At 39.3% G+C, this 12,014-nt stretch overlaps 1 protein-coding gene and 1 long non-coding RNA gene across 9 annotated transcripts in view; both read right to left on the bottom strand.

Annotated features, from left to right (window-relative positions):
• The window catches only part of PSMA6 (proteasome 20S subunit alpha 6), a 38,936-nt gene continuing 28,944 nt past the window's right edge, over window positions 2,023–12,014 (bottom strand). For 2 of the 5 annotated variants that reach the window (NM_001282234.1, NM_001282232.1), the window contains exons 2-7: window positions 11,428–11,522; window positions 10,521–10,602; window positions 8,621–8,776; window positions 6,457–6,635; window positions 5,061–5,155; window positions 2,037–2,267 (exon numbers count right to left, since the gene is read on the bottom strand). In NM_001282234.1, the coding sequence (NP_001269163.1) occupies window positions 2,210–2,267; window positions 5,061–5,155; window positions 6,457–6,635; window positions 8,621–8,776; window positions 10,521–10,602; window positions 11,428–11,522 (665 nt within the window). In that variant the 3' untranslated portion in view covers window positions 2,037–2,209. Of the gene's footprint in view, window positions 2,268–5,060; window positions 5,156–6,456; window positions 6,636–8,620; window positions 8,777–10,520; window positions 10,603–11,427; window positions 11,523–12,014 lie in introns of all 5 variants that reach the window. The other 3 variants (NM_002791.3, NR_104110.1, NM_001282233.1) reach the window with 3 other exon arrangements.
• Window positions 2,045–12,014, bottom strand: part of PRORP-PSMA6 (PRORP-PSMA6 readthrough) — a 195,633-nt gene continuing 185,663 nt past the window's right edge. For all 4 annotated transcript variants that reach the window (NR_182666.1, NR_182669.1, NR_182668.1 and 1 more), the window contains 6 exons: window positions 11,428–11,522; window positions 10,521–10,602; window positions 8,621–8,776; window positions 6,457–6,635; window positions 5,061–5,155; window positions 2,045–2,267 (listed from right to left, as the gene is read on the bottom strand). This is a non-coding gene — a long non-coding RNA (PRORP-PSMA6 readthrough). The remainder of the gene's footprint in view (window positions 2,268–5,060; window positions 5,156–6,456; window positions 6,636–8,620; window positions 8,777–10,520; window positions 10,603–11,427; window positions 11,523–12,014) is intronic.

Here is a 12,014-nt window from a genome sequence, read left to right as displayed (position 1 = left end):
TCAAGCAATCCTCTCACTTCAGCCTCCCAAAGTGCTGGGATTATAGGTGTGAGCCACAGCGCCCGGCCAGAGTGGGTTTCAAAACCAAAGTTGTAGTTTGTTATTTAATTATACCATATAGCTAGTTTACATTTCTGGCTTTTTTTTTTTTTTTTAAGATGGCATTTCTGTCACCCAGGCTGGAGTGCAGTGGCACAATCTCTGCTTACTGCAACCTCTATCCCCCGAGCTCAAGCAATTCTCCCTCCTCAGTGTCCTAAGTAGCTGGGACCACAGATGTGCATGCTAAGTTTTTATATTTTTGGTAGAGACAGGGTTTCACCTTGTTGCCCAGGCTGGTCTTGAACTCCTGAGCTCAAGTGATCTGCCCGGCTAAGCCTCCCGAAGTGTTGGGGTTACAGGTGTGAGCCAGCACGCCTGGTGCTGGCTATGAAATGTCTTAAGCCAAGTAAACTTGTACCAGTGTCAACAAAATGACTAAAGCTACAATGTGAAGATGGTGAATATTTGTCTGCATATACCAAAGGCTTAATACTTAAAATTGGAGGCAAACCACAATGAGACATCACCTCACTAGTTAGAATAACTATTATCAAAAAGACAAAACATAAGAAGTGTTGAGGATGCAGAGAAAAGGGAACCCTTACAATTAAGGGAAATGTACATGAGTACAGCCATTATGGAAAACAGTATGAACGTTCCTAAAAAAATTAAACAGAATTACTCTATGACCCAACAACTGCACTCCTTGGTATGTATTCAAAGGAAGTGAAATCCGTATGTTGAAGAGGTATCTGCAATCCCATGTTTATTGCAGGACTATACACAATAGCCAAGATATAACTGACTTAAGTGTTCAAAGTGAATGAATGGATAAAGAAAATGTGATATATATACACAAAGGAACACTATTCAGCTATTAAAAAGAATGAAATCCTGTTATTTATAACATGAATGAACCTAGAGGACAATACATTAAGTGAAAATAAGCCAGATACAGAAAGACAAATGCCACATTTTCACTTACATGCCAAGTCTAAAAACGTTGATCTATAAGTAGTGAATAGTACATAGAACAGTGGTTACCAGGGACTGGAGGTGGTAGTGGGAGGGATGGGGAGAAGGTGGTGAACAGCTAAAAAGTTACAATTAGACAGGAGGGGCCCAGTGCAGTGACTTACACCTGTAATCCCAGCACTTTGGGAGCCTGAGATAGGACTGTTCGAGGCCAGGAGTTTAAGACTAGCCTGGGTGACATAGGGAGACCCCTATGTCAATATTTTAAAAGATAAAAAATTAGCCAGGCCTGGTGATGCATGTCTGTAGTCTTAGCTACTTGGGAGGCTAAGGTGGGAGGACTGCTTAACCCCAGGTATTTAAGGTTGCAGTGAGCTATGAGCACGCCTGCCACTGCACTCCAGCCTGGGTGAGATCAAGTACCTGTCTCAAAAAAGAGAAAAAAGGAGTAAGATTTGGTATCCTATTGCACAGCAGAGTGACTACAGTCAACAGTAAGGTACTGTGGACCCAGGCACTGTGGCTCATGCCTGTAACCCCAGCATGTTGGGAGACTGAGGCAGAAGGATCGCTTAATGCTAGCCAGGAGTCTGAGACCAGCCCACGCAACATAGTAAGACCCCAACTCTACAAAAAAATAATAAAATTAGCTGGGTACAATGGTGTACACCTGTAGTACCAGCTACTAAGGAGGCTGAGGTGAGAGGATTACTTAACAAGGGAGTTCAAGGCTGCAGTGAGCCATAATCATGGCACTGCACTCTAGCTTGGGCAATAGAGCAAGATCTTGTTTTAAAAAACAAAAAACTAATAAGGTATTGTGTACCTCAAAATAGCTAGAGGAGAGGATTTTAAATGTTCTCACCACAAAAACACCGTGTTTCAGGTGATGGATATGCTAATCACCCTAATTTGATCATTATAATGTATACATGTATCGAAACATCACATTGCACCCCATAAATATGTACATTAGGTGTCAAAAATAAATTTTAAAATAGGAGGTGAAAACAACAGGATGCAATTATTTTCCAAAAGCCTTGTTTTTATTTATATAGAGTCCTAACCACTTCGGTGGTAGGAGGAGTGGGAGAGGCTCCTTTTTCAATCCAGGGACCTCCATGATGTTGGTTTGTTGTTACCAAACACACAGGTAAGTGGCATCACGGATCTGGTAAACTAACGACAATGTTTAGTCTCTCTCTGCTAGAGCAACAAGGTGAGCATCAATCTCTGCTTCTGTAAGAATCCTAGAAGGCAAAAGGGGGAAAAAAACAACGATTTAAAAAAAATTTTTTCAAACACACGTAAAAGTGGGATAGTATAATAAACTCCCATATACCTATCAACCTACTTTAACAATTATCAATTTATAAACCAATCTTTAAAAAATCTATACACACACTTATCTTCCCTCAGATTATTTTGAAGGAATTCCCAGATATTATACCACCTTCACCTATACACAAAAATGTTTACTTTGACATCAGATTTAGAATTGTATCTTGAAAATAAAATTCTTTAGTTGCAGCTAAGATAGAAAATATTTCAATTGAATAACATAAATAAAGCTAAACTATAAAGTATTCTATTTAGCTTCTATGTCAAAATGCATTTATTTTTTATTTTTTTTGAGACAGAGTCTTGCTCTGTCACCCAGGCTGGAGTGCAGTGGCGTGATCTCGGCTCACTGCAAGCTCTGCCTCCCAGGTTCAAACGATTCTTCTGCCTCAGCCTCCTGAGTAGCTGGGACTACAGGCATGTGCCACTATGCCCAGCTAATTTTTCTATTTTTAGTAGAGATGGGGTTTCACCATATTGGACAGGCTGGTCTGGAACTCCTGACCTCGTGACCCGCCTGCCTCAGCCTCCCAAAGTGCTGGGATTACAGGCGTGAGCCACCTTGCCCAGCCGTCAAAATACATTTATATGTAGTATAACTGAAATTTATGTCAGCTCAAAGATAAAAATTCATGAAGAAATTTTAAGCATATTAAAGTGTTCAGATTCAGAAGTTCATGAAAATAAAGTTATAATTCTATGAATAGTCTACCAGCCAGAGAGTGCTCCATGTTGAACATATATTTCCTTTCTCTTTTTTTTTTTTTTTTTTGAGATGGAGTCTGACCCTGTCGCCCAGGCTGGAGTGCAGTGGCACAATCTTGGCTCACTGCAACCTCCGCCTCCCAGGCTCAAGCAATTCTCCTGCCTCAGCCTCCCAAGCAGCTGGGATTACAGGCGTCCACCACCACATCTGGCTAATTTTTGTATTTTTAGTAGAGATGGGGTTTCACCATGTTGGCCAGGCTGGTCTCAAACTCCTGACCTCAAGTGATCTGTCCACTTTGGCCTCCCAAAGTGCTGGGATTACAGGTGTGAGCCACCATGTGTGGCCCTGAACATGTATTTTCTAAATGATGTTTGCCTCGAAAGGAAGCAATTGTTTGGCAACCTTGTTAATGTGACCTATTACTACTAGACTTCTAAAAAGTGAAATTTGTCAAAAGGACATTTTTTAGTGCAACTGAAGGCAATATCAAGCAGTTTAAATAGTTGTTGATGCTTATGCTATGTACTGTAATTATTTACATATATTTACTATCACAGAATTTATAAATGATACAAAGTTTTTTGAAGACAAGATTTTTGATTCCTTACCAATTTAAAAAATAACAAATACAATTTTAAAGGTGGCAGGAAGGTCTCCAAACAGAAAAGAAAACAAGAACTAATTGTAGGTTCCTTAGAGAGATTTTAAGATTATTCTTGCTGAAATTTTTACTTAAAAAAAAAAAAGGCACCTTTTTCAAAAGCAACTTGATCCCTGCCCCCACCCCTCACCCCTACCCCAACCCAAGTTACAAGACTTCTTCCTACGGGAAGAAAAGCTAGGATAGATTCGCTTTTGGTGTTGTCGGTTGTTTTTTTAACAGATGAGGTCTCACTATGTTACCCAGGCTAGAGTGCAGTGGCTATTCACAGGCACTATCATTGCGCACTACAGCTTTCAACTCCAAGGCTCAAGCCATCCTCTTGCCTCAGCCTCCTGAGGAGCTGAGACTACAGATGCATGCCACAGCACCCAGCTGTTTTTTTTTTTTTAAAGTCCTATGAATTTTTCTGAATCTGTCATGTTTATATGACTTATCTGTGGGCAACCAAAAGAACAAATTAGGAAAAAAAAGAACAAACGAAAAACCTCTTCAAGGTCTAGTTAAGCTTAGTTTACCACTCCCGTACCCCACACCACAACCAAGACCATGTGTCTTTATGGTTGTGATCTAAGAATAGATACACATAATAGTTAAAATGCCTCCCAGTAGTTCCTTGTATCTGTCGATTTAACTGCAGTATTTTCATTAAAGATAAGAGCATCCTGGTCCATGGTATATCAACTGCCTCACAGGGCTGCTGGGAGGATTAAATGAGCTGATTATACGAAGCACTCAGTATGGATTTGAATCATGGAAGCTATAAGGCTGATGTGTGGGAGTTAGTCACTTAGTGAGTAAGAACACACACACACACACACACACACACACACACACACATCCAGCAACTGCAAGTCAATTAGCTGTATTCAAAATTTGGGCTTTCCAAAGATCTCTAGATAAGGGTCTGACATATATCAGTAACTCATATTGCTCCTCAAAGTTCTACTTAAATAACCACTAAATAACCAAAGTTCTATCTGAAAAACTTGCAAACTACTACTTTGGGAATTGAATTTGTATTGGCCTTAAACTAAAAAAAAGAAAACACTTATGCTAATTTTTTTCCTTACATAAGGAAGGTAACTTTATGTCATCTCTGGTGTTAGATATAAAATCACTCTGAAATAAGGAGAAAAGCTTTCATATCTGACTCTTAAATAGAGTCCAAAGTTTTAAAAACAGATCTCAGGTGCTGGGGAAAAAAACAAACACACAAACAAAAACTATAATGACAGTTAAAGAAAAAAGATTTCCCCCACAAGTTATAGGACACATGGACTCACACGCCTCCACCTTTCTAGTCTGCATGTGGCCCACAATATCACTCACCTGAATTTAGGATTTTCAACTGTCACTACTCCAACTTCTATTTCTGAAGGTTTGAAATCAATTGATAGAACAGTAGACAGGCATGTAATTGCAGTCTGAAAAAAAGTATTTAATGTTAAAATATAGTATTTTTTAGAGATTCCAAGGTTTTCTCATTCCTAGCTTATTCAAATCATGAGTCAATCAGGAGCTCCATGTTTCAATGAGGTAGTTCAATGTTACTAACAGACTGCTTAACTCTAATGTATTGCCTCCCAATGATGAGAAATTTTTTTCTACCAAGTCAAATAATAAAGGGGTCCATTAATTAAAATAGGATGATTTATACAAAAAGGTTTATTGGCTTCATGACCCAGGCACTACACTTCACTTAGCACTTGGGGTGAAATGGGAAAAGGATAAAGATGAATGATACTCTCTGCATCTTCAAGGAATTTACAGTAAAAACGATTTAAGAATGTTTTAAGTGTTGTTTGTTTGTTTTGTTTCTGTTTTTTGAGGCAGAGTCTCACTCTGTCGCTCAGTCTGGAGTGCAGTGGCGCCAGCCTGGCTCACTGCAACCTCAGGCTCGTGGATTCAAGCGAGTCTCCTGACTCAGTCTCCTGAGTAGCTGGAATTACAGGCGCCTGCCACCATGCCCGGCTAATTTTTGTATTTTTCATAGAGACAGGGTTTCGCCATGTTGGCCAGGATGGTCTCAAACTCCTGACCTCAGGTGATCTGTCTGCCTCCCAAAGTGCTGGGATTACAGGTGTGAGCCACCTTAAGTGTTTTTTTACCGGATGTGGTTATTTATGTAATTAATTATGAATTGCAATAAAAGAAACCTTTAAGAAATATTTAGACAGGGCCCAGTACTTCCTGAACATGAACTAGCTTTTTATCTCCTTTAAGCATACTTCCAAACCAAACGTAAAAGCATTAGATGGTAATTTTTTTTTGGTCACTTATCAGAAGCATGTTGTTAGCATCTTCAGAATGGCTTTAATTCCAGACTTACACCCAAAATCTACTAAAATTTTTGTTTTTAATTTCTTGGCAGTAAATAGGACTGGCCTCGAACACCTAGACTCAAGCAGTCCTCCAGCTTCAGCCTCTCAAGTAGCTGGGACTACAGGTGTGTGCCACCATGCCCAGCTGGTTCCTATTTTTATTTATATTTTCCTATTATATGCGTTTTGTTGAAAGCCACCTCAAATACATTACGAAATAAGGAATTAAGTGAATAAAAGCAACTCAAATTTTCCTATGTCAGCTGTATGATATCAATTTCATTATTAAGTTGACAACTTGAATCCTGGGATGTAATTCAGGAATAGCTTTGTATAGAAATTATACAAAGATCCTCACTGTTCTATATAGCATAAAAAAAGTCAGCTCCTTTTGGTTGACTTACTTCCACTGTCTGTTCAAATGTCCAATCAAATTTCTTCTTCACTTTTTTTTCAAGGAAGCTGGTTGACTCAGTTTGTTTAACTCCCGCTGCAGTGGCTTTAAACCCACAGTAGTAACCTGCAGGATCACACTTATATACCTGAGGGCCTTGCTCTTCATCTATACCAATTAAAATCATACCTAAAAAGAGAAAAGACCCTAATTAAATGTTTTAGCTTTATACAATGACATCTCCTCTTTCTTGGTGGTGTCACATAGCTGCTGCTAATCATGACTTTGGCCATCAATTTTAGGATATGTATTTTCCTTTAAGAAAACTGATAAAATACAGGTTATCACCACAGGTAAATTAGGTAACAGGTAAATTCCCATTTCACAAAAGGATTTATCACAGATTAAAAAAAATAGTTTGAATAATTACAAATACAATTTAAAAATAGTGTTTCCAATCCTTGCTGTTATCCAAGCATGTTTATTTGAACCCTAATCCTTCAAGATGTTGCCTGGTCAAATAAACTTCAAAAACACTTTTTTTTTTTTTTTTTTTTTTTTTTGAGACAGACTCTCGCTCTGTCTCCCAGGCTGGAGTGCAGTGGCACGATCTCGGCTCACTGCAAGCTCCTCCTCCCGGGTTCACGCCATTCTCCTGCCTCAGCCTCCCGAGTAGCTGGGACTACAGGTGCCCACCACCACGCCCAGCTAATTTTTTGTGTTTTTAGTAGAGACCGGGTTTCGCCGTGTTAGCCAGGACTGGTCTTGATCTCCTGACCTTGTGATCCACCTGCCTCGTCCTCCCAAAGTGCTGGGATTACAGGCGTGAGCCACTGCATCTGGCCAACCTTTTTTTTTTTTTTTTTTTTTAGGAGACGAGGACTCGCTGTTGCCCAGGGTGGTCTTGAACTCCTGGGTTCAAGTGATCCTCCTGCCTCGGCCTCCCAAAGTGCTGGGATTATAAGTGTGCACCACTGTGCCTGGCCCAAAAACACTTTCATATACCTTTTCTGGAAACAGATAATAAATAATAGCATATTAAATGCTGTGAAATATTCTGTTGTAGATTGACCTATTTAACTTTAACTCAGTAGTTCTTCTGTTTGTTTGACCAAGAAATACTTTTTTTTTAAAATAGAAATACCTATTAAGGTTCCAGGGAACAGTGTATGGGACACACTTTGGGAATGCTGGCACAAACTGAAATACACTTACAGGCTACCTGCTCACCTTTACACTGCCCATCTTCATTACTGTTGGTATATACTCCTCTAGTAAGTCACACAAACCAAGCTCTAAATTCTATACATGTAACTTTGTTACTACAATTCTAATGTTACCATATTATAGGAATACAATTAAAATAAACACCATCATTAAATTTCTTTCTACTCAGTAGAACAGGTAACAAAGTACTTAATGGTTTGACTGCTTTCTTATATTTGATATATACAAAATATAAGGGCAACACAAAAAAGTACCCACTTACTGCTTGGGGAAACAACAAATACTTCTTTCCTTCAAGGTCTTGCAAGATGAATATGATTTAAGTAATTTTTAAGTGAGAAGTCAAGAGGGTCAGATGCTAAACAGAAATCATTACACTGACTGCTTTAATGCTCATAAATGAATGACACAATGTCAGAAACAAACATGCACTGAATTTTTCAGGCTAATTTATTACATCACATCTAAAAATCAGTAAATCTCATCCCTCTCCCAATACAATTTTACTTGTTTTCAAAAATAGAAATTTATTCTAAAAATGTGAATTACACACCTGTGTGTGACCCTAATTCTTTAGGGTGGTCAAAACAAACAGCTACATTATTAAGATGCCTGATGCAGGTATTTCTATGGAATTAGTAATCTCGAATTGCAGTAGAACCTCATTACAACATCCTAATAATGAGGACTTGCATCTTTCAAATCACATACACCAAATGGAAATACTTTGATAAAAAGTCTAACAGCATCTAAAGCTTAAAGATAATGCCCGACATACTGTTGTGAAACCTATCCTTTAGTTCTGATTTATTATAAAGATTTTCCCACTCTATGTATTTTCCAAACCACATGTTCAGAACTCAAGTGTTATTTAAATAATTCTGTATACATGTTCTGTAAAAAGTTTCAATTCATCAATTATTTGGGAGACCTCTTAGCATACTTACAACAACCAAGAGGCCTCATTTCAGCATTCTGTGTGTAGACCTGAGAAATATCGGCAATTCTTTTACACAGCATGTCCACAGGAATCTCATAGCCATACTTGTATTTCCAGTTAGCTGCCTCATAGCGTGCCCTCTGTACCTGGGATCTGCTGTCAGCTTATAGCATAAAAAACAAAGATTTACCTGGTTAGAAGGAAAGAACAAACCTGAAAGCCAGGCAATTTAGCCAGGCAATTTTCCCACCATATAGACATACATGAGTTAAAGAGAAAGGGTCCGCTACGGCTTTTTCTCCCCCAATGAATACTAAATAACTCATCAACAAGTATATGAAAAAAATTTAAAAACATGAAGCTCTCTACACAGTACTCCCCTTTTATACTGAGCCTTTCATCAGCAGTCAAAATAGTTTCTGCAAGTATCCAGTAACTCCCAAAAGAAAAAGCATTAAGGAGGCAGGGCATGGTGGCTCAACACTTTGGGAGGCCAAGAGAGGCGGATCACTTGAGGCCAGGAGTTTGAGACCAGCCTGGCCAACATGGCTAAATCCTGTCTCTACTAAAAACATAAAATTAGCTGCACGTGGTGGTGCATGCCTGTAGTCCCAGCTACCTGGGAGGTTGAGGCACGAGAATTGCTTGAACCCAGGAGGCGGAGCAGCCTGGGCGACAAAGTGAGACTCTGTCTCCAAAAAAAAAAAAAAAGGCCTTGAGAGAGAATAATCTTTCTTAATCTTTGTTTTTAGGCTTAAATTAGTTTTTCATTTTTTTTTTAGAGATGGGGTCTTGGACTGGCACCCAGTGAGCCATCATAGCTCACTGCAGCCTTGAATTCCTTGGCTCAAGTGATCCTCCTACCTCAGCCTCCTGAGTAGCTAGGACTACAGGTATGTGCCACCATACCAGCTAATTTTTTTTTCTTCTTCAAATGGAGTCTTGCTCCGTTGCCCAGGCTGCAGTACAGTCTCATGATCTTGGCTCACTGCAACCTCTACCTCCCGGGTTCAAGCGATTCTCCTGCCTCAGCCTCCTGAGTAGTTGGGATTACAGGCACCTGCCACCATAGCTGGTTAAGTTTTTTGGTATTTTTGTTTTTATTTTTTGAGACAGTCTCACTCTGTTGCCGAGGCTGGAGTGCAGTAGTACAATCTCAGCTCACTGCAACCTCTGCCTCCCGAGTTCAAGCAATTCTCCTGCCTCACCCTCCTGAATAGCTGGGATTACAGGTGTGCGTGCGCCACCATGCCCAGCTAATTTTTGTATTTTTGGTAGAGATGGAGTTTCACCACGCTGGCCAGGCTGATCTCGAATTCCTGACCTCAAGTGATCCGCCTGCCTCGGCCTCCCAAAGTGCTGGGATTACAGGTGTGAGCCACCGTGACCAGCCCCTAGCTAATTTCTAAATTTGTTATAGAGATGGAGTCTCACCATGTTGCCCAGGCTGGTTTTGAACTCTTGGTCTTAAACAATCCTCTCACCTTGGCCTCCCAAAGTGCTGGGATTACAACTGTGAGCCACTGTGCCCAACCTAAAATAATTTTCATAATAATTCTCACTCACTTCTAACCGATGCCATTATTACCAGGTTTGAGATATACTGAGTTAGGTCCCCTTAAACTACTAACTATAGCTGAAATAAGATAAAATCATCTATGAAAGGGCCCTCAGCCCAGTTTCTCCGACAGCAGCATAAGCATCTAATTCTATTATAGGTATAATTTCAAAAAAGCTCACAATACTCTTAAAATATTGATACTAGTCTTAGAAGACTGCAAATCCACTCATGGCACTTGAAAATCAGGCAATAAGTTTAAAATTAATACAAAACTCAAAATAATTTGAAGAAAATAACAAAAGGCTTGTATATCTACAGATGTCTTGTATATCTACAGATTAATTACCTGTCATTCCGGTCATCACACAACCAATGTTTTCAGTTATCTTGAATAAGTGAGTCACTGTGCTGGAATCCAATAATTTGTCCTAATAAACAAAATAAACAAAGATAATTTTTTAAAAAACATACAGGTTTCTGTGTAGTTATAAAAAAAATTATGTTTTTAATTTGCCCTGCTTCTTGGAGAAAACAATACTATGGAACCATAAAAATAAACTGTATAATAAATGTCTTCTGATCATTTTATAGTTAAAATCAATTTTAGTTTCGAGGGGCTCTATTTACCTTTTCTAGATGATACTTTTCCTGTGGACAAGCAATAGCTTAATAAAAATTTGTCTCAAGGTCCCCAAAGACAAAAGACTTAGAAACACCGTTATGCTTATAATCACGCCATGAAGTTTAATAAGTTAATTCTGTCCACACAGCTGAACTGTATATAGACGTTCAATAGACACTTCTTGGATGACAGGAAAGCAGGGTCAAAGCAAGATTATGTTAATATTTGTATATAAAAATACACTTTTCTACAAACCCATGAAAAATTCTTTTTTCTTTTCTTTTTTCTTTTTTTTTTTGAGACGGAGTTGCACTGTTGTTGCCCAGGCTGGAGTGCAATGGTGTGATCCTGGCTCACCGTAACCTCCACCTCCCAGGTTCAAGTGATTCTCCTGCCTCAGCCTCCCGAGTAGCTGGAATTACAGGCATGTGCCACCACGCCTGACTAATTTTGTATTTTTAATAGAGACAGGGTTTCTCCATGTTGGTCACGCTGGTCTAGAACTCCCGATCTAAGGTGATCTGCCCACCTCAGCCTCCCAAAGTGCTGGGATTACAGGTGTGAGCCACTGCACTTGGCTGAAAAATTCTTATATTCTGCAATTATTAACTATTTGGGCAGTATTACTTACAGGTACTTTCTTCTGTGTGACAATTACTGCACAGTCTTTCCCTCTGACAGCTACTGATGTAAGGCCACCCTGGTTAATAGCCTTAAAAGCATATTCTGGAAAACAGAACAGTTTTTTTTAAGTTGGAATAAATTACTGTAGATTCTTGCAATGAAATAATAGTCATTAAAAAGAATGAGAAAGAGCTACATGAACACAGAATGCTCATATAGCATTCCAGGATGTGCAAAGTCAAAATAATAATAATGACCACAAGTCACAGTTAAACCAACTCCATTTCTTCCATTTTCATTTTACTGAAATTATTTTCATTAAGCTGATGCACCCAATTTCCAATAAAGTTTTTTTCTTTTTTTAAACAGAGTCTCGCTCTGTCACCCAGGCTGGAGTGCAGTGGTGCGACCTGAGCTCACTGCAACCTCTGCCTGCCAGGTTAACGCTAGTCTCCTGCCTCAGCCTCCTAAGTAGCTGGGATTATAGGCGCGTGCCACCACATCTGGCTAATATTTGTATTTTTACTAGAGACGGGGTTTCGCTGTGTTGGCCAGGCTAGTCTTGAACTCCTGACCTCAGGTGATCCACCTGCC

The sequence above is a fragment of the Homo sapiens genome, chromosome 14 (assembly GCF_000001405.40).
Source record: "Homo sapiens chromosome 14, GRCh38.p14 Primary Assembly".
Lineage (NCBI taxonomy): Eukaryota > Metazoa > Chordata > Mammalia > Primates > Hominidae > Homo > Homo sapiens.
This window is presented reverse-complemented; position numbering and strand designations above follow the sequence as displayed.